The sequence below is a fragment of the Homo sapiens genome, chromosome X (genome assembly GCF_000001405.40).
Source record: "Homo sapiens chromosome X, GRCh38.p14 Primary Assembly".
Lineage (NCBI taxonomy): Eukaryota > Metazoa > Chordata > Mammalia > Primates > Hominidae > Homo > Homo sapiens.
This window is the reverse complement of record NC_000023.11, coordinates 123154719-123178534: the sequence shown is the minus strand read 5'-3', so window position 1 is coordinate 123178534 and position 23816 is coordinate 123154719. Positions and strand designations below refer to the sequence as shown.

Below are 23816 nucleotides of genomic sequence, written 5' to 3'. Positions count from 1 at the left end.
AATGTATACCATTTTACCCCTCTGGGAAAGTTAAAAAATGATCACTGGGAAACAGCATAGGCAAGTCAGGGGGAAATTAACCCCCAAACTAAAACTAGCCCCTCCTCCCAGCCCTACCTGGGGAGGGGTTGCATGTTTGAGTAGATTTGAGAGTTCTAGAGATGTTGAGGAATTATTGGTGCCAATTGTTTGAGGAGTTATGCTTTATACTCAACTGGAAAAATTTCCATTTTTTGAAGTACTTATGAAAATTGGAAGTTGACTCTGGATTCTGAAACTTACATGACTGGAGGTTAGGAACTGAGTCAGCATCATGCCAGATAACATCATATGAAGGCAAATAGACTTTTTCCCCATTTTTGAGGTGCATATATGTGTGGGGGTGGTGGTGATGGGGTTGGAATGAGTGCAGTACACATGTTAGATTGAATGAGAGCTCTAATTATTCACCCTTTCCCAAATTCATATCTTTATCATGGCCTCATTGTGGGCAGTTTGTTTTCCTGCCCTTTAACTTGGCCATGTGACTTGCTTTGGCCAATGGAATGTGGGAAAAAGTGACAGTGCACCAATTTCAGCTTACATCTTAGGAGACCTCACACATATCTGCTTGCCATCTTCAGCTCTGTCAGTGCCATGAGAAGAACATGCAGCAGCTAATTTGTTGGCCCAAGAAAGATGAAAGACATGAGTAGCAGAGCAGCTCCAGTTGACTCATAGACCTACAGTGAGAAGCAGAGCCACCCCAGCTACTACTACCTGTAGCAGCACTACACTGCTGGGGCCAGTCTAGATCAGCTGAACCCCAGCCAACCTGCCCATCAGTGAGGAATAAGTGACTGATGTGGTTTTAAGCCACTAAGGTTTGGGACACCTTGTTGTGGAGCAATAGCTAACTAATACAGCAGGCCTCTGGCCGTAATATATTTCTATGAATGGTCTAAAGCTAGGGTGATCATATATTTTTGTTCACCCAAGACCATTCAGTTTATGCCCATGGTCTTGGGACAATTATAAGTGCCCCCTTTCACCGGGATAAAAATACCTCAGTTCAAATGCGAATTTCTGTGGTCAATCTAGCTGAGACAATGTAGATCTTATATGTGGTTGCTTCAAGGGCCAGATGGAAGACTTGCTATCTGCTTGTTTGCTATTTCTACCTCCTAATTTCTGCTTTCTAATTTGTCAGCTGGGGATTTGAGTTTAGCCATCTTGAGGAATAAGGTATTTTTAACACTCCTTTAGAGGTAGGGAGTTTTGGGTTTCCTGCTTTGAAAGAAAATTCAGAGTATTTAGGGGAATAAAAAGATAACTGGAAACATTTGAATTTGAAGATACTTGCCTGTGGCTAATTCTTAAAGAGGAATTGCAATTGCTGGTTTTCCTAAAGTTTAATCTGTTATAATATGTGTGCTGTGGGCATATTCCGTTGAGTCTTTGTGACATCAATTTCATGAACATAATATTTTGAGGAAAAAGAAAAGCATATTAACCACTCCACATTTTTCTGGGCAATTACCCACAAAATTAAAATTAGTAGTTTTATCCTTTGAAAATACAGGTATGCCCTAGTTTTAAAAAGTCCAATATGTGGAACTAGAAATTTGGAAGGAGTTTTGTAGTTTACTAAAAGATTTGCCTAAGTTTTCCTTTAAGTAGTGAACTGCTCTTGTGCAATGGTTATCAGTCAGATGTGATTTTGCCCCCTGGAGGACAAGTGGCAATGTTTGGGAGACATTTTGATCATCATTCCTGGCAGTGTAGGGTGGTGCTACAGGAATTTAGTGGGTAGAGGCCAGAGATGCTGCTCAACTCCTTATAATGCACAAGGCAGCCCCAAATGTCAATAGTGCCACTGTTGAGGAACCCAACTCTTATGTATTCAGAATAGGAGTTTTAGAAAAACCAAATAGGTATATACACACCTTTTCAGAAATGTGAGTATTGAACTAGGAATCTGAAAACTTGGATTCTAATCATAATTCTGCCAAAATTACTAGGAATGTGACATCAGGCTATCATTTACACTCTCTGAGACTCAGTGATTTGATCTGTGAATTGGGGATACATCTTATTTATATCTCCAAATAAAGCATTAGAGAGAAAAGGAGAGGGATGAGGGAGGAGGGGAGTGAGGGAGGAGGGGGATAAGGGGAGAGGGAAAGATCATTGTTACAATACACTTAATATTGTGGTATTCAGGCTGGTAAAGTTGATTAGCTCAAATCATAGAATTACCAGGAAATGTGAACTTTCTAAGAGTACTTCGACTGCTTTTACTTTTCTCGACATTCTACAACCGAAGAAATTGCAGCAGGGCAGAATATCTGTCACTTCCCCAAATCCAATGCAAAAGCCAAGGCTGTCTGACTTCCTATGCTGCCTTTTTTTTTTCATTAATTCCCCGCAAGTTACCTACAGTTCCTGTTACTAGTTATCAGTGCTTCAAGTAATATTATCCTTGTATTATTGTTAATGTTCTTTTTTATTTTAGAGAAAATACTAACTGAGAGGAAGCAGCAGTTATGAAACTATCTCTACAGTGATCATCAGAGCTCAGGGTTGGGCAGAAAGCTGGTTTCTGCTGAGCTACCAACACTTAGTTGGACTCAAGGGTGAGAGAGTGAAATGGACTCTAAGTAGCAGCAGGAAGGAGGGAAAGTAAGAACAAGGCCTATACAGTGTTTGGAAACTCTTCAGGGCAGACAGGACTGGCTACATAATTTGCAGGGCTTAGAGCAAAAATGAAAGTGCTAGGCACCTTCTTGAAACATTTTTAAGAATTTCAAGACAGAAATGGCAGTGCATTAATCCAAGCATGAGCCCTTCTAGCATGGAGCCCTGTATGACTGCACAGGTCACACTGAGGGCAGTGCCTACTATAGAGAAGAATGGGCCAGTCTGGAGCACCTCCCTCTTCAGTTACCTGGGCCCTTGACTCCAGGCCCCAGGGAGGAAGCTCATTCACTAAGGACCCTGCAGGGTCCACAGGAAATGAGGTGGCTTCCTCTAGGGAGGTACAAACAGTTCCTCACTGCTTCACCCAGCCTCCCTCAGTGGGTTACCCCAGTCCCAAGAGAAGTTACATGTTGCAGAACAAGAGACAATCACTGTATCTTGGCAGGAAATCAGCCAAAGAGTGGTCTTATAGATCCTACCTGCCCTGCTATCTAAACTCAAATTGAGCTCCCTTGGGGGAAGATTGTTCCATATACAAAGGCACCACACTGGGAAACTCTTTGTGAGGCAATGCCTTTAGAAACAAAACAAAACAAAACAAAACAAAACAAAACAAAACAGAAGAGAACAAAACAAAGCAAAAACAAACATTTCCTCCCTCTTAATGTAGTGTTTAAGAGCTTAGAACATTATCACATTTTGATAATAACGGGAAAGCAGTGACTCTTTCCCAATTTTGAATTTCCTTTACTCAAATTTCTGGTACATACAGATTAACTTGGTACTTTTTCCTGTTGATGGTGATGATAACAATGATGATGATGAGGAGGAGGAAGATAACAACGATAATGAAGGCAATGATGATCATGATGATGACAGTGATGATGATGGCTAACATTTATTTCTTACTTCATGCTAGGTATTCTACTAAATGGTTTAAATGTATTGTTTCATTGAACTCTTACAACAACTCTTTGAGATAAGTACTATTAGTATCCCCATATTCCATTCAAACCAAAATTAGAAGCATTTCCTATGAACCTTAAAGGAAAGAGACGCTGAAAAGCATCTATTACACAAGAGATGTTAAATGGAAAGAAATTGCGCAGTTCCTATTATTAACAAGTTAGAATGTGAAAAGTGTCATTGATTTTTCCTTTTATTATAGGATGCTTCCCTTATTGTATTTTTTTGTGAACACAAAATTTATTTTTAAATGCTTTGTACAATGCTTAGTACCCAGAGGCTTCTCAATAAAAGCGTGCTGAATGAATTAATAAATGAGGGCTGGCCGGGTGCAGTGGCTCACATCCTAGCACTTTGGGAGGCTGAAGAGGGTGGATTGCTTGAGCCCAGGAGTTCGAGACCAGCCTTGGCAACATGGCGAAACCCCTTCTCTACAAAAAATACAAAAGCTATCTGGGTGTGGTGGCACATGCCTGTAGTCCCAGCTACTCAGGAGGCTGAGGTGGGAGGATCACCTGAGACTGGAGAGGTCGAGGCTGCAGTGAACCATGATCGCGGCATTGCACTCCAGCCTGGGCAACATTGTGAGACTCTGTCTTAAATCAATCAATCAATCAATCAATCAATCAATCAAGGCTTTTGTAGGCTCACTAAAGATCTAAATTTTTGTATGGAGTTTCAAGAAAACACCCTAAGCTCTTTAATCATGAATACTGCCAAAGGATTTTGAGAAACAAAATTTTATGGTTAGAGAAGTACCCTGTGTCTTTATTTCAAGTAAATTATACCTGTGATACCAGCTTGCCCTCTTGATATGGTTATAAACTAAGGCATCATTACCACCACCTTGTGGAAGTTTCCAATAATTGCAGACAAATTACCCAAGTAGAAAGCCATAGAGATCTTGACTATTGAACCTTACACTTCTCCTCCAACACATTACTTGACTTTTGCTCTAGTTAGATTTCTGGGTAGTAAATTAAAGCAATACATTTATGTGTCCTTTACTTTGAGTGACCTCAAATTCTTCTTGGAATCAGGAGCAGCGTGGTGAAAAAATATGTGAATGAATGGAATGTTTACATTTCCAAACTAACCCATTAAAAAATTATAAACCTTTTACTGTCTTTCTAAAGAGGATGAAACTTGAGGGAACCAACTAATTTGGTATTGGAATACACTGTAACTTTATATGTTAACTCTAACTAGATATTTTGCTAACTTTGTTTATCTGTTTAAGATTTTGCGAGCTCCATGAGGGGAGGGATTTTTTTTTTTTGGTCTGTTCTGTTTACTGCTGTAATCCTAGCACCTACAACAATGCACTGAATTTAATGGATGCTAAATATTTCTTTTTCAAATGAGTGAATACATGAATTAAGTCAAAAGCAAGATCTAATGATGCTTAACATAATGGTACATACATTAGGAGGAATACAAGGGAGAAAAAGTTTCTGATTGCATGGATGAACTGAAAAAGAACAGACCCAAATGCCCTTCTGTCTGGGAGATTAGATTTGGCAAACTCTTAGATAGCAGTGACCATACGTTATACTTAGGATAGTGCCTCTTGAGGTGCAGAGGTGGTGGAGAATAGTGGAGGGTGGATCTGGAAAGGGACAAGGAAAGAATAACTTTTCTCTTATTGCCGCATCACTTATAAAACTTACTCATCCTTTCCCTCTTCTTTTCAGTATTTTGTTTGATAAAAGTGATTCGTATATTCTACAAGGTACTTGGTGGAAAGCAGTCCTTGTGTTACTATTAAGGGACAGATGACAGTTGAGAAGAATTGAAGGTCTGAGTTAGTATAACATTTTCTGTTTCTCAAGATTGTGGAAATTGGCTGACTATGTCTGTAGCTGGCCACAACATGATAAGAGGTTGGGTTGCAAATGCTGAGAAAATGGAAATGGAAGTCAGCAATTTGCTTCTATACCTTATAATATGGGCAAACCTTGCTTTATGCAATGGGCATACCTCTCAAAATTTAAGTGGAAAATGAATTTAGATAAATTGAATCCTATTTTAAATCCAGGACAGGGGCTTGCCACTTAAAGAAACCCTGAAGCAAATCATTTTTTGAAGTTAAAAAGTGGGCTATTTTGTCATTTTTGTAGTTTCCTTCATGTTGTACTAAAAATAAAACATAGTCCCCTAGAATTTAGAGAGTAGATGCTTTTGAATAAAGAGTTGTGGTTTTGAGATGTTTATTTTTCAAACCTTCTCTGATACCAGAGCTTAAATGGAAAATATCTAGTTTTCTGAAATCCCCAGTATTCCAATCTAGTATCTTTTCATGGTACTTCCTTTTTTATAATTGCAGCTTTCATTTTGGATTCAGGGAGTACATGTGCAGTTTGTTACATGGCTATATTGCATGATGCTGAAGTTTGGGGTAGAAATGATCCTGTCACCCAAGTAGTGAGCATACGACCCAATAGGTATTTTTTCATCTCTTGTCCCCCTCCCTATCTCCCCTCTCTAGTAGACCCCAGTGTCTATTATTCCTTCATAGTATACTTCTGATGTAGGATCAGAAATTTCCCAGTTTTATTTGGGACAAAGTTGAAGTGTTAATAAAACATACATAGGTATTGCCATCTTTGCTCCAAATTACCACCGATCACGTCTTCACTGAAACCTTGGATGTACAACATAAGCTATAAATTTCATGCCAGGGGGAAGAAATTGTAGTGTGAGTTATTATTTATCAAGTACTTTCTATGTGCCAGGCATGTGCTAAGTACTTTTATATATTAGATTATCTAATCCTAATAGCCCCCTATGAGGTAAGTAGTATTATTACTTCAATTTTACAGCTGAGGAAATGAGTCACGCGGAGAGATTGAATGGCTTGCCCAAGGTTACATAGCTCTAAGTGGTAGATGTGAAATCAAGTCCAGGAAGCCTCTCTGTCACCCTGCCTCCACGTCATTATCTCTTTCTCTCTCTCTCTCTCTCTCTCTCTCTCTCTCTGTGTGTGTGTATGTGTGTGTGTGTATGTGTGTGTGTGTGTGTGTGTGTGTTCTGTTCTGAAATCCCAACTAGTATGTGTGCTCCCAAAAGGCAGAGAATGGATAGCTGCCTCTATGCCATACAAGCTCAGTGGCCACTCAACTACCATTGTAGACTGATTGGGAAAAACAAACACTTGAAAGAAAATTTTGTTTTGTTTTTAAAAGTTTCTCTCTCTAGCTTAGCTAAAGATAATTTACTTTTTCAAGGGATGGAGGGAGTACTGTTCACTTCTCCGAGAAAATAGTTACTTACTGAATGGCAATCTCATGCCCTGGAAGGGTTAACTTTACTGTCTGAGAGAGGACAAGGCAGTGTGTATAGTGGTATACTTGTCTTTTTCCATCAGAACCATGGTAGGTGGTTTAAAGGAAGGGCCACTCAGCCTGAGTTCAAAATACCCCATTCACAACTAGTGTTAGACTGATTCGACCTCCTTGGGTCTCACTATTTTCATCTGTACAATGGGGATGATAATAAGTAACAGATCCTTCATAAGGATGCTGTGAGGATTGAATGAGATAATTAAAGTACATCGAATTATGCCTGGCATGTAACAAATGCTCAGTAATATTAGCTCTTATTGTTACTAGCTCCAGGCCCATAAGCATATTTTAGCACAGGTTTCTCTGAGCTTCTTTTGGTTCTGGGGGCTCTGAGAGAGTCCATTTTGCTAAGTTGGAGGAAGCAGGAAAGGCATTTGCATTTGCAGAAGCTGTCAGCATTTGAGTTTGTTTAGCCTTGACAAGAAATGGCTTCTTATTTTGAAAACAAAGGAAAAATATATTTTTCAAGTGAAGAAACACCTTTAAAGGTGTATAAAAATACCCAGAAGACTTATTAGGCAGAAAACAGCTTTCATAGAGCAACGTCGTAGTGATTGAGGAGGAAAAATTGTCAACTGTAAGAATTAGATTGCCCTTAATGGAGAAGCAGAGTTGGGCATGGCAGAGACCGCTAGGATGGGTGGGGGAGGGGGAGGGCAGGGGGAGGCAAAAGGCTTGCCAAAGAGCCAAGGAGATTGGATTGTGCCAGTCCAGAAACCACTTGCCGGAAGAAAGCTGCAGTCGCTTTCACCCACTGCCGCTCTGTGGTAATGAATGCATTTTTGATTAGCTTTGCTGATTACCTGCTCGCTATGCACACAGCGGAAGATAGAATAGCAGAGGCTGGGGCTCTTGCTTAAGACTTTAGAGGCAAGCGTTGGTGGGAGGGCTTTGATGCTCTTTTGTATTTTTCTTTTCCCATCTGCTCCTCAGTGTACATTAAAATAACACAGGCTTGTTCTGGGAGCAGCCAAGAGGCCAGATTCTTAGTTTATTTCCCTTACACATTGGTGTTGTTACAGGGAAATAAAAACAGTACCAGAGGGGCAAGGAGCTGCACCAAAGCCCCCATCCACTTTCCTCTGATTTCTTTGTACCATTTAACTCATCCCCTCAACCACAGGAGATGGATGTCTTTGCATATATTGAAAAAGAAGTTATGTCTTTGATTTCCTAGATACATTACAAGTATTTACCAAGATATGAGAATTAGGTGTGGAAATAGGTTTGAGGCTCAGAAGGCAAAGTCTCTAAAGATTTAGTGCAATTTGAATGGGAACATGAACTTTCGGAAGGAAAAACACAGGTTATCAATTTGAGAACAATTTCCTCTCTGGTGCTGTAAGATGAGAACTAGAGTCCAATGTTTATAATCAAATGAATCTTTTTTATTTTTTAACACATTAGTACAGCAGTTTTGTTCATATTGTATTTTCTCTGTGCATGGGCTATTAATTGTTTTTGGTTGTTGTAGTTTCTGTTCTGGACTAAACATTGTATGAGGCCTGATCTGTTTCTAACAAGGTGAAGGCTAAATAACTGGCGAGACTCATCTATGAATGTCAGCCCAGCCTGTGACTGAGTGATACTGTCTAAAGCAAACACTATTTTCTCTTTTTGGGTAGGAATGGAGGACTTGACAGCTGCTTGAATACACAGATCAGGGCTAGCCCTATGTGTAGGAGCAGTGAGTGAGTGCTTCCTTTGAGGGGCTTCTAATGCTTCCATTTCACCTTTTTTGTATCTTCACTAGTAGCCTCATTGTGCTTTCTGAAATTCCTATTTTCACCCACTCCTTTGGGAAGCACTCTGTTAAAATGGTGATGCTGCCTACATGTGATGCATACTTCCCATTATTTCTACATCATGGCACACAGGCAGCTCCTCATAACTGGAGTTAATAAGTTTGGAATCAGGCCACTCCAGATCTTGAGTACTGAAGGGAATTACTAACTGAGCACACCTCTGATCTTTTATATGGCCACCCTTATGAAAGATCACCAGTCATTCATAAGGGTGACCATATCATTTATGATCCAATCTGGGACACTTTGAGAGTGAAAGGAGGCACTGTTAATAATTAAGCCAGGACATGAGGCAGAATGTATCATCTAGGAAGTTTAGTCACCTCAGTCAATTATACCCTAACCTAGGTTAGTTTCCAAGACGAGCCCTACTGAGAAAAGACCTCTGAAACGTGTACTTTTCTAATCTGTTTGCTCCATTAGTCATTTTCCTTATCTGTCTTTCTATTTATATAGCTAGGATCACCTACTCTTATTCTGTTTTTCTCTAGTCTCCATTTCACAGACGAAGAGACAGATATGACACTAAATGATGTTTTATACCCTAGTTTTTGTCAGAAGTGAGTAATTAGGTAGCAACAAGGCCATATGGGACCCAGGGGTAAATTGGTGATTTCTGAATCCTCACTAAATTTCCATTTTGGTATCTTCCTCATCTTGTTTACCGTCTTTCTTTCTCTAGCTTCCCAGTGCCCATGTTCCCTCCCATGTCCAGAATTTTCTTTCTTTGCTCGTATCCATTAAAGCTTAGCTGTTCTTTATAATATTTGATTCCTTCGAGACTTTGCCTTCTGTTGAAAAATGAATGCTAAAAATTTAACGTATTAGCTTCTCTAGGAAGTATATTCACATTTAAATAAGGGACTTCTGAAGACATAACTGTGTTAATCCAGTGAAACAGTGATAAAGGTGGGAATTCAGGCACCATGGCAACAGGGTGTTTTTCTGGTTGGAAGACACAACCTCACAGTATGACCTGACTTATACCACATAGGTCCTGTCTTGGTCAGGGCTTTCAAAGTTGGATAAGCTATAATACCCTCAACATGATTTCTGCTGCCATCTAGATGACATGCTCTATGGGATTGTGGCATAATTTTAGATTTACTTGAATTTATGAAAAGCCAATAGAATGCTTTTTATAACAGTTAAAGTTGATAAAAAAAGTAAAAAAGTAAATAATCCAGGTTTGTGTCTGATCTGCTTCAGGCAGGAACATGAACTCACTTTAGAGTGGTAGAGATCTAGAAATGATTGTCTTCCTTCGAGAGTAGAATTGCCCTTTGTCTTTTTGGGATGATGAAACATAGATTGCCTGGTGAATGGGCAAGCACTCTTAGAACTAAAATTCTCAGCCCTCTGTTTTAATATCTTCCCCATCTACATCCCTTTGAAACTAAAATGTAAAAATCAGGATCAGGATTCTTTGGGAAATCAGCTTTAAAGGACACATAATTTATTTATTAGTGTTTGTATATATTTGATATCCTACTAGTCACCATCTAAACCAACTAGTTGATTCTCCCTGTGGATGTGACATTTGGTCATTCATTAACAAATATTTCTTGAGTGCCTACTACGTGCCAGATACTGTTCTAGATACTGGTGAACAAGATAGACACAGACCCTGCTCTCATGAAAGTTAAATAGACAAAAAACCAAACAACTAACAAATATAGTAACAACCCATTTTGATTTGTTTAAAAGAAAACCAATAGGATGTTTCCATAGAGAAAAGAAAGTGAGGACCAACTTTTGAGTGCCAGTAACAGAAAGCCAAACCAAAATTAGGTCAAATTATAAGGGATTTATTACACACTGAATGAGAAGTCTGGAGGTAAGGAACCCAGGGTTAATTCAGATATACAATATAAGTTTTATGAGGGACCCAGGCACATTTCATCTTTCTATTCTACCATCCTTAGTGTATGAGTAATGCTTTATTCATGGTTGTAAAATGTCTTCCAAAATTGTAAGCATCACATGTAGACACATAACAGCTAGTCAAGGGAAATTGGTGTTTAATTTTCTGTGTCTCTTTCTTTTTTTTCTCATCAAGAAAGGCCTTTCCAAAAAGGTCCCAAGTGGACTTCACTTTGTGTCAAATTTGTCAGATCTGCGTCACATGCCTATCCCTAAACTAGTCATTGACAAAAGTGCATGATACGATCATGATTGCTGGAGACAAATTGCGATTTACCAGCTAGAACTGGGAAGGGGCCAACCCCCCCTGGCCACATGACAGCCATATCCTTGAACAATATTATCATTGTCCTAGAAAATAGTAAGGTGGATGAAGGGTACCTGCTATAGGAGAAGTCAATATTTTCTGCCTTTGATAGGGCACTCAGGAAAGGCTCTTTTGATGAAATGATGTATTAACTGAGACAGGAAGGATGAGATGGATTCAGTCAAATGAAGCTTGAGAGATAGGACATTTCAGGCAGAGGGAAGAGCCTATGCAAAATAATTGAGATTGAAAGAGGTTGGCATCTTTGAGGACCTGAAAGAGGACCAGTGTGACTAAATGTAGCAAGTAATGGGAGAGCTACATGAAATGAGATTTGGGAGCAAGGCAGAGACTAGAACAATTAGGACCTTGTAAAGTGTGGCATAGACTTAAGATTTCTTCAAAGTGCAGTGGGAAACCACTGAAGGGCTTTAAATAGCTAAGGGTCATGACCTATATCTTAGGATTATTCTTGCTGCTATATTGAAAATGAATTAGAAAGTTAGCAAGAGTAGAATTTGGAGACCAATTAGGAGATTGTGGCAATGGTTCAGGCAACAGATGGTGGGGGCTTGGAATAGGGAGATAGAAAAATGTATGTGGAGAGAAGTGGAGAGAAATATTTTATAGGTAGAACTGACATGTCTAATGGCTCAGAGGTGGGGCAGGAAGAAAAGGGAAGAAGCAAAGACATTTTCAGGGCTTTTGGCTTGAGAAACTAGGTAGATGGTAGTCTCCTCCTCTTCCTCCTCCTTACCATCCACTTTCTTTTAACTGAGATGGGAAGTTCTGGGCAAGGAATAGGCTTTGACAGAAGTGGGAGTGTTGATCCAAGAGTTCTGTTTAGATATTTTAAGTTTGAGATAGTTGTGAGATATTCAAGTGGAACGGTCAAGTGAGTAATTGCATAGGAGACTCTGCAGCCCAGATGAAAGATCTGGGCCAGAGATACATATTTGGAAGTCAGCAGTGTAGAAATGGCATTCAAAACCAGAGAAATGGATGAGCTCACTTAGTGAAAAAGGTTAGGGTGAACAGAGGAGCGGGTTTAGTGCTAAGTTCTAAAGCACATGAACTTTGAGACACTGGGGGAGATGAAGAGAAGTCTGCAAAGGAAATTGAAAAGTAGAAGTCATTGAGGTAGAAGGAAAACCAAGAGAGACTAAGTGATTTACCCAGGGTTACACTGCCATAATCTCCTCTTAAGGGCTCAGGAAAATTATATAGAATCTTTTGAAAGGACAGAGTAGATAAGAAAAGGAAGAGGTAATTTTATACACATTTTAAAAACATTGTTTTCTTTCTTAATATAAATACTGCAGTAGGTACTTCTGGTTTCTGGTCTGACAAGTAAGGAGCTTAGAAGTTGCCATTGCTGTTATAGCTTAACAAGTAAAAACCTGAAGAAACTGAGAAGTCAACAACTCTTATTAGATCTATTAGAGAAGTGAGGTCACAAGGAAAACCACTGCCCCAATAACTGGAGAGACAGACAGGTGGGTATAGAGAATCACAACCTATAGAAGCCCATGAGCAGAAACCTTTATGGGAACCAATAACAGGGTAGGAAAACCTGAACTGATAATTGGCAAATTTCTGGAGACTCAGTGTGGGTAAGTCTGAGAGTTAAAAACTCCAGGAGACTTACTCATAGGAGTTCCCCACACTTTTTTAGGTTTTACCTCCAGAAATTCTATCAGGCCCTCACGGTGAATTTTGGAGAAAAATCCCCTTTTGCCTCTGGCAGGGAAAGGAGAAAAGGAATCATTTTGAAATACACCAGAGGACTCTGTGCTTCCTAACAAGGTTTTCCCTCAAGCCAAACTATTTTGCCAGAGCTTAACCTTTTGGGGTTTCATCAGAGCTTGACTGTTTTGGGGAAAGGAAATACCCAGCTTTGGCTCCCTCTAGCCATCTTGTCCCCACTAAGGGGGTAAAAATCTGAGAAGCACTGATGAAATTCACCATCCAGGAGCATAGGCTCATGAAAAAACCGAGACCTAACCGAAGGCCTATTTACTGTAGTTCCTTTCACCCAGTTCATCATGTATACCTTTCAACAAAAAATTACAAGGCATACTAAAAGGCAGAAAAACAACAACAACAAAACAAAACAAAAACAAAAACACATTTGAAGAGGCTTAGCAAGTATCAGAACCAGATTCAGATATGGAAGGAATGTTGGACTATCAGACCAAGAATTAAAAAAAATAAACAAACTATGATTCATATGCTAAGGGCTTTAGTAGAAAAAGTAGAGAACATGCAAGAACAGAGGGCAGTGTAAGCAGAGAGATGAAAATTAAAGAATGAAAAAGAAATGCTAAAGCTAAAAAGTACTATAACAGACATGAAGAACGCCTGTGATCAGCTCATAAGTAGACGGACATTATTAATGAAAGAATCTCTGAGTTTGAGGCTATGACAATAGAAACCTCCAAAATTGAAAAGCAAAGATAAAAAAGACTGAAAAAAATAACAGAATATACAAGAGCTGTGGGACAACTACCAAATGTGTGACATATATATAAGGGAATGCGAGGAAAAGAGAGAAAGAAACTTGAACAATATTTGAAGCAAGAATGACTGAGAATTTCCCAGAAATTAGTGTCAGACACCAAAACAAAGATCCAGGAAGCTCAGAGGATACCAGAAAAGATAAATGCCAAAATAACTATACCTAGGCATATCATTCAAACTTCATAAAATCAAAGATAAAGAAAAAATCTTGAGGGAAGCCAGAAGAAAAACAACCTTACTGATAAAGGATCACAGGTAAGAACTACATCCAACTTTTCTGAAACCAGGGAAGCAAGAGAGAGTGGAATAAAATATTTAAAGTGTTGAGATTATATTGAGATATGTCCTTGTATGCCAATTTTGCTGAGAGTTTTAATCATAAAGAGATACTGGATTTTGTCAAATGCTTTTCTGCATCTATTGAGATGATCATGTAATTTTTGTTTTTAATTCTGTTTATGTGGTGTATCACATTTATTGACTTGCATATGTTAAGCCATCCCTGCAGCCTTGGTGTGAAACCTACTTGATCATGGTGGTTTATCTTTTTGATATGTTGTTGGATTTGGTTAGCTAGTATTTTGTTGAGGATTTTAGCATCTATGTTCATGAGGATCATTGGTCTGTAGTTTTCTTCTTTGGTTATGTCCTTTCCTGACTTTGGTATTAGGGTTATACTGGATTCATAGAAGGATTTAGGGAGGGTTCCCTCTTTCTCTATCTTGTGGAATAGTATCAGTAGGATTGGTACCAATTCTTTAAATGTCTGGTAGAATTCTGCTGTGGATCCATCTGGTCCTGGACTCTTTTTGTTGGTAATTTTTAAATTAGCATTTCAATCTCACTCACCCCACAGCCAACATAATACTGAATAGGGAAAAGTTGAAAACATTTCCTCTGAGAACTGGAATAAGACAAGCAGACAAGAGGAAGAAATAAAGGGCATACAAACTGGTAAAGAGGAAGTCAAACTGTCGCTGTTTGCTGATGATATGGTCATTTATCTCGAAAACCCTAAAGACTCCTCCAGAAAGTTCCTAGAACTGATAAAAGAATTCAGCAAAGTTTTCAGATACAAAATTAATGTACACAAATCAGTGGCTGTTCTATACACCAACAGTGACCAAGCTGAGAATGAAATCAAGAACTCACTCACTTTTTCAATAGCTGCAAAAAAATAAATAAAATACTTAGGAATATACCTAACCAAGGAGGTGAAAGACCTCTACAAAGAAAACTACAAAACACTGCTGAAAGAATCATATATGACACAAACAAACAGAAACACATCCCATGCTCATGGATGGTAAAATCATTATTGTGAAAATAACCATACTTCCAAAAGCAATCTACAAATTCTGTGCCATCCCCATCAAAATACCACGATCATTCCTCACAGAATTAGAAAAAAACAATTATAAAATTCACATGGAACCAAAAAAGAGCCTGCATAGCCAAAGCAAGACTAAGCAAAAAGAACAAATCTGGAGGCATCACATTACCTGATTTCAAAGTATGCTATAAGACCATAGTCACCAAAACAGCATGGTACTGGTATAAAAATAGGCACATAGACCAATGGAACAGAATAGAGAATCCAGAAATAAACCCAAATATTTACAGCCAGCTGATCATCGACAAAGCAAACAAAAAGACAAAGTGGGGAAAGGACACCCTTTTCAACAAATGGTGCTGGGATAATTGGCTAGCCACATGTAGGAGAATGAAACTGTGTCCTCACCTCTCACCTTATACAAAAATCAACTCATGATGGATAAGGACTTAAATCTAAGACCTGAAACTATAAAAGCTCTAGAAGCTAACATTGGAAAAACCCTTCTAGATACTGGCTTAGGCAATGATTTCATGACCAAGAACCCAAAAGCAAATGCAATAAAAATAAAGACAAATTGCTGGTACTTAATTAAACTAAAGAGCTTTTGTATAGCAAAAGAACAGTCAGCAGAGCAAAGAGACAACCCACAGAGTGGGAAAAAAATCTTCACAATCTATATATCTGACAAAAGACTAATATCCAGAATCTACAATGAATTCAAACAAATCAACAAGAAAAAAACAAACAATCCCATCAAAAAGTGGGCTAAGGACATGAATAGGCAATTCCAAAAAGAAAGCATACAAATGGCCAACAACTATATGAAAAAATGTTCAATATCACTAATGATCAGGGAAATGCAAATCAAAACCACAATGCAATACCACCTTACTCCTGCAAGAATTGCCATAATTAAAAAATAAAAAAATAGTAGATGTTGGCATGGATGTGGTGAGCAGGGAATATTTCTACCTGCTGGTGGGAATGTAAACTAGTACAACCACTATGAAAAACAGTGTGGAGATTCTTTAAATAGCTAAAAGTAGAACTACCATTTGATCCAGCAGTCCCACTACTGGGTATCTACCCAGAGGAAAATAAGTCATTATACAAAAAGATACTTGCACACACATGTTTATAACAGCACAATTCACAATTGCAAAAACGTGGGACCAACCCAAATATCCATCAATTAACGAGTGGATAAAGAAACTGTGATATATATCTATATCTATAGATATATATATGAAACTGTGATATGTGTGTGTGTGTGTGTGTGTATATATATATATGATGAAGTACTACTTAGCCATAAAAAGGAATGAATTAATGACATTTTCAGGGACCTGGATGAGATTGGAGACTATTATTCTAAGTAAAGTAACTCAGGAATGGAAAACCAAACATCATGTGTTCTCACTGATATGTGGGAGCTAAGCTATGAGGAGGCAAAGGCATAAAAATGACATAACAGACTTTGGGGACTCAGGGAGAAAGGGTGGGAAGAGGGTGAGGGATAAAAGACTACACACTGGGTGCAGTGTATACTGCTCGGGTGATGGGTGCACCAAAATCTCACAAATCACCACTAAAGACCTTACTCATGTAACCAAACACCACTTGTTCTCCTATAACCTGTGGAAATAAAAATAAAATAAAATAAAGTATTGACAGAAAAAACCCACCAACCTAGAATTCTGGACACTGTGAAATTATGCTTCAAAAGTGAAAGAGAAATAAAGACTTTGTCTGACAAGCAAAAATTGAGAGAATTCATTGCCAGTAGATCTGCCTTGAAAGAAATGTTGAAAGAAATTCTTTAGAGAGAAGAAAATGATATGGATCAGAGACTTGGATCTACATAAAGAAAGGAAGAGCATAAACCAATAAATAAATGAAAGTAAAATAAAAATTTTTGTTTTTCTTATTCTTAATTGTTCCAGTAGATAACAGTTTATTCAAAATAATAATGACAACAATGCATTCAATTATGTATGCTTATGTATATATATGAATATATATGTGTATATCATATATATGCTTATGTATAAGCCAAATGAATGATAGCAATGATACAATAGATGGGAGGGGGAGTTAGGAATTTTTTTATTATAAGATACTTCTACCACCTGTGGAACAGTATAGTGCTATTTGAAAGTAAACTTGGATTAGTTGTAAATATATATTGTTAACTCTAAGACAACCACTAAAATAAGTAAAAAAAAAAGAAGTATAATTGATATGCTAAGAAAGGAGAGAAAATGGAATCATAAAGTGCATAATTAAAAGACCTAAACAGACACTTTACCAAAGAAGATATACAATTGGCAAGTAAGCATATGAAAAAATTTTCAACATATGTCATTAAGGAGTTGCAAATTAAAACAAGAATGAGGAACCACTAAACATCTATTAGAATGGCCCCAAACCAAACACTGACAATATCAAATGCTGACAAGGATGTGGAGCAACAGGAACTCTCTGTCATTGCTGGTAAAAATGGAAAATGGTACTGCCACTTTCGAAGACAGTTTGGCAGTTTCTTACAAAACTAATCATACTTTAACCATATGACCCAGCAATCGCACTCCTTACCCAGATGAATTAGAAACTTACACAAAAACACAAAATCATCTGCACAGATGTTATTGACAATCTTAATTGCCAATGTTTGGAAGCAATCAAAGTGTCTTTCTGCAGATGAATGGATAAACTGTGGTACATTCGAACAATGGAATATTGTTCAGCACTAAAAGGAGATGATCTACTAATACATGAAAAGACATGAAGGAAAGTTACATGCATATCTTTCCACTTAGTGAAAGAAGCCAATCTGAAAGTGCTACATCCTGCATAATTCCAACCCAATTCTGGAAAAGGAAAAACTGTAGACCAAAGATGAATGGTTTCCAGAGATTGGTGGGGGTTGGGGAGGGATGAATAGGCAGAGCACAGAGGTGTTTTTAGAGCAGTGAAACTATTCTAATGATACTTTAATGGTGGGCACATGTCAGTATATATTGGTCCAAACCCATAGAATGTACAACAACAAGAGTGAACCTTAATGTAAACCATGGACTTTGGCTAATATTGATGTGTCAATATAGTTTAATTGATTTTAACAAGTATACCTTTCTGGTGGAGGATGTTGTTGGTAGGGGAGGTTTGTGTGCGAAGGCAAGGGCTGCGCGGGATTTCTTGGTTCTTTCTGCTTTACTTTGCTATAAATCTAAAACTATTCTATAAAATAATGTTTATTAATTTAGAAAATTATACATGTTCATGTTGAAAATTTAGATGACATGTATAAAAAAATAAGAAAATGAAAATCACCCACAAGTCCATTTGTTACTTTCGTGTATAACTAACCAGTTTTCTTCCTTCTCTTCCTCCCTCTCTTCCTTCTTCATTCTTCTCTCCCTCTTGCCCCCCGCAAACACACACACACACGGTATGAGCATCTCAGTGGCTTCACACAATATAAGCTATTTTTCCTGCTCATGCTACATTGTCCAATATACATGGGCAAGGGGTCTCTGCTCACTGTAGTCACTTAAGGACCCAGTGTGACTAAAGTCCTTTCTCAACAAATGCTTCCGTGATCAATAAGGCAAGAAAAGGGGCATGTGGCAAATTAAGCACTGGCCCTTAAACATTCCACTCACATGGAATGTTACATTATATGACTGTGCCTAATGTCAGAGGGGATAGGAATACATTGCCCAGTTACATCATATGGCTGTGCCTAATGTCAGAAGGGATAGGAATACACAATCATATAATGTCCCTTGAAGGGGAGCATGAGAGATATGAACAGTCCTAATGATTACCAGAAGCATGCATATTTTAAAAACTCATGCTCAATATACCGTTGTGCAACCTCCTTTTAAACGCAATGTATTTTTAAAATAGTGTATTAAAATTTTTTCCATGCTGTTATAATTTGGATGTTTGTCCCCGCAAACCTCATGTTGAAATTTGATCCCAATGGTGGAGGTGGGGCCTAATGGGAGGTGTTGGGTCATGGGGAATCTCTCATGAATAGATTAATGCTGTCTTGCAGGGGCGAATGAGTTCTCTATTAGTTTTCCTGGGAGGTAGTTGTTAAAAAGAGCCTGGCACCTCCTTCCTCTCTGTCTTGCTTCTTCTCTCACCATGTGATTGCTGCACACACCCAGGCTTTCCTTTACCTTCCATCATAAGTAGAAACAGTCTGAGGCTCTCACCAGAAGCAGAGCCTGGCTCTACACATCTTGTACAGCCTGTAGAACTGTTAGCCAAATAAACCTGTTTTCTTTATAAATTATCCAGTGTCAGGTATTCCTTCAAAGCAACACAAAATGGACTAAAACATATGCCAATAAATATTCTCCTATAAGATGCTTTTTAATAGCTGTATATATGCAATAATTTGTTTAATCAATCCTCTCTTTAAACTGGTTCCAATATTTCTATGGCAAGTTACACTGCAGTGAAGACTCATTTGCATACATCTTTGTTCTCATTTATGATTCTTTCTACAGGATAAATTACTAGAGTCAAAAGAAATGCAGAATGTGAATACCTTTGCTACATTTATTTTAAAAGAGATGAGCTCTTGCTCCATCACCTAGGCTGGAGTGCAGCAGTGTGATCACAGTTCACTGCAGCCTCCAACTCCTGGGCTCAAGGGATCCTTGTGCCTCAGCCTCCTGAGTATCTGGGACCACAGGCATGTGCCACCATACCCGGCTAACTTATTTTATTTTACTTTTGTAGAGATGGGGTCTTACTATGTTGCCAAGGCTGGCTTTGAACTCCTGGCATCAAATGAGACTTCCACCTCAGCCACCCAAACTGTTGGTATTACAGGCATCAGCTACCTCACCCAGCTCATTTTTTTTGAGACGGGTTCTCACTCTGTCACCCAGGCTGCAGTGGACTGGTGTGATCATAGCTCACTGCAGCCTTGAACTCCTGGGCTCAGGTGATCCTCCTGCCTTAGCTTCCCAAGTAGCTGGGACCACAGGTACATGCCACCACACTCAGCTAATTTATTTTATTTTTGTTGAGGTGGGGATCTCACTATGTTGCCCAGGCTAGTGTCTAGCTCCCAGCCTCAAGTAATCCTCCCACCTCAGCCTTTCAAGTAGGTGCTACCATGTCTGGCTCTTTTTTTTAAATTTTTTGTGGAGATGGGGCCTTACTATGTTGCTCAGGCTTGTCTTGATGTCCTGGCCTCAAACCATCCTCCTGCCTCAGTTTCCCAAAGTTTTGGGATTATAGATTTGAGCCAGTGCAACTGGCCCTACTTTGCTATTTATTGTTAAATTTTCCTCCAGAATTTAAAAAATCAATTTATCTTCCTACAAGCAATGTGCAAGAGTGTACATTTCCCAGAATCTTACCAATTATGGCTATTATCCACTTTTTTTTGCTAATTTTCTCAAAATATCACTTGGTTTTACTTGTATTTTTCATTGCTTAATAGTGAGATTGAGCATTTTTGCGTGCTTTTTGGCCATTCTTATTTTGTGAATTGCCTATTTGTGTCTTCTGTACTTGTTTTTGCAGTGACACACCAGTATTAATACTTTACTCTTGTTCAGCCCCCACTCATAAACATACTTCTTTTCTCTCGTCCCCTTTTGAGCTTAAAAAGCCTAATAGTAACTAAGGCAACAAAACCTGCTAGGTGGTTGGACTCCAAAATAGTAGTAGTAATCATCCCGAAACCCTTAACAATAGTTTTTATTAACTGTGTATGGTGTGAAAAAAACTGTATTGTATATTCTGAGTATCTATCAGGATTCAGAGACATTTTTCATGAGTGCTTTCCTAGGTATATTGAGTCCCTATCCTTGGGGCATAATTGCTACATTCTGTGTAAATGGTGCCAACAGGAGTTGTGCAATGTGCTTGCCCTGCCAAGCACCTAAACATCTGGGGACCTGAGTTTTATTCATAACTACCAGCTTTAACTGATTCTACTGCTATTGTTTTCCGCTTTCTCTCTTCACCTACTTCATTTCAATTTCATCCATCAAGCGAATACTATTTTTCACCACAAAAGACATTACAAATTAGCATGGGTAAATGATTATTCTTAAAAAACATAGTAGCACAGTCATTGATTTAGGTAAAATGTGACACAAATCTTAATATGTAAAATGGATAAATGTAAAGATATTCTGATTGAAGCAGTTATGTGCTCTCCACTTTGCCTCCCCCTCATACTGCCTGCACAACTCTATGGACCTCCAAGATTTCCATGGAACACAATACGAAAACCACTGGTCTAATGGAATGGGCACTGGGCCTAGAATGAGGAGTATAACTAACTGGTTGTGGGACCTTAAATGTGTTGTTTAACATCTCTGATACTTGCTTTCTGAATCTATAAAGTGGGAAAATATAAAATTGATTATTACCTATTGAGCACCCTGTACCAAATCACTGTACTGGATAGTAGAGAGGATTCACATAATGCAAGAGGCAGTCCATGTTCTTAAGAAGTTTATAATTCACTTAACACCTTAACACCTATTCTACTTATCCTCTAAGATGCTTATGAGATCTGATAAAATGGCAGGTGCAAATAAAAATGACAATATGCAAATGTTTGGAAGAAGTAAAAACATTGTATGACAAATGCAAAACAGTATTGTATATATTGAGTTATCATTAATATTTTATTGGCTATGTCAAAAAGTCAGAGGTTTTTTGAATTTTAAATAGACTGCTTTATAGAGATTGATCCACTTAATTGAGAAATGGTGTCTCCTGTCTCCTTCCCCAGAGCTCACCAGTATTTCAGAGGCTTGAGGAGTGCTTCACATCTGGAAACCACTGTCAAATCCCAAGATTTGGCACAAAACCCACCCACTGGTGAAGAGCAGTCACTGAGCAAACTTTCTAGAATTCTGAGGCTGGGCTTGGCTTGGAGGAATAACTATCTCAGTAGGCCTCAACCAACAGTCAACACCAGAGTGTGCACTATTATGTTAGCACATGTTAAAAGGGTAGAGGGCAACACATGACATTAGGTCCTCAGGAGTTAGCAGGCAGGTAGGTGCATTTGGGAGATCTGCCTGTTGGTAGCAGGATTCTAACCAGTGAGTGGAGATTCAGGTGAAGGATCTGAGCCTAAGAGTATTGGGGCCCTAGTCAGGAGCACCAGGAAGAATTTGGAAATTGAAAACAGCAGAAGTCCAGGCTAATTGGAGGAGTTTGGGTCCTTATGGTCTTTCAGGCTAGAAAACTAATCACACAAGATGAGTAGAAAGCAAGCAGAATCTTTTTCTACTGCAATACTTATGAGGTGGTAGCTAAAATGGGGAGATAAATAACATGGCATGGTTGCTGGAGGAACTCCCTAGAAAGAAACTCTTTCATTTCCCTATGGCATCAACACGCCAAGGATAAACTTTCGGGAAGAATTTAAAGTTCATTTTATTGTTACATTTCCTGTGCTCTGTGGCACAAGATACAATGTATAAGGGGAAGGGGATTTTTTACTCAAAATGTTTCCTAAATACTAAAGCCATTGTTACTCTTGATAACAAAAGGCAATTGAATTCTTTAGGCTGTGATTATGACACTGCTGCACTATTTTGTGTCTGCTCAAGAGCAATTAGGGCAAAAGCTTTCCAAATTTACAGCTCTCTCTTTTCAGAATGCAGGATGGGGGATGAATTACCGTGGACTAGAGTGAATATGAAGAAACAACCTGCGTTAGAAGATTTTAGCAATCCAAGTGGGAGGTATTGGTAATTTGACCCCACGTGATGGTGATGCATATAATGAGAAGTAGATCTATTGGCAGTACATTAAGGTTGTAAAATCAACAGAAATTAGTGAATGATTGGATATGTGTGTAGTGTGGGGGAGGTGTGCTGGTGGTAAAATTGATGTGAAGGAGAGGGGAATGTCAAAGATGAGTCCTGGGCTTCTGCTTTACAAATATGGATGTCTGATGGTGCCATCCACTAGGAAAGGAGGGAGTGGAAGCAACTAGGTTTGGAGAAAGAAAGCTTTAAGTTCAGTTTTGGACATATTGAATCTGCAGTGCTTTTGAGACTTCAAGAGGAAATGTTGAGTAGAAAGTCTGAAGTTTGGGGAAGAGGTCTGAGCCGGAGACATAAATTAGGTGAGTCATTTTTGAGTCACACTATCCCCAGTATTCTGTAATTTGTTTCCTACTCTTAGTAAGTCATGTGCATTTTCAATTCAATACATATTGATTAATCTCATTTGTGAGCCATATAGTATTCCATAGTATGTACAAATATACTGTAATTTATTAAACCATTCCCTCATCAATGGCCATTCAAGTTGTCTCCAGTTTATTTTTAAATTGTTACAAATGCTTCAATAAACAAATTTACACATATATCTTGATATATTAATACTAGTGCTTTAATGTCTGATGGATGCATTCTCAGAAGTAGGATTGCTGGGTCAAAAGTTATGCATATTTTAATTTTAATAAATTTTTCCAGATTGGCAGTATAACGCAGTGGTTGAGAGCATAGGCTCCGGAATAAAAGGGTCAGGTTTCAAATCTTCATTCCACCAATTACTAGCTGTGTAACCATGGGCAAGTTATTTAATATCCTCTGTCTTAATCAGTTTCCTCTTCTATAATCAGGAAATATCTATCTCATGTCTGTTGTGAAGATTAAATGAGATAATATGTTTATATAAAGTGCTTAGAAAGTCTGTCACAATAAATGCAATAAATGTCATATTATTATTATTATTAGAGAAGGACTTTTGCTCTTGTTGCCCAGGCTGGAGTGCAATGGCACGATCTCGGTTCACCGCAACCTCCGCCTCCCGGGTTCAAGTGATTCTCCTGCCTTAGCCTCCCGCGTAACTGGGATTGCAGGCATGCGCCACCACGCCTGGCTATTTTGTATTTTTAGTAGAGACGGGGTTTCTCCATGTTGGTCAGG

General features: G+C 38.6%; 1 annotated feature.

Moving 5' to 3' along the window:
- Positions 22913 to 23113: a silencer, noted in NCBI's record as "peak7421 fragment used in MPRA reporter construct". NCBI's record gives its function as "represses an SCP1 promoter by STARR-seq MPRAs in K562 erythroleukemia cells {active_cell/tissue: K562}" and the evidence as "EXISTENCE:reporter gene assay evidence [ECO:0000049][PMID:32103011]".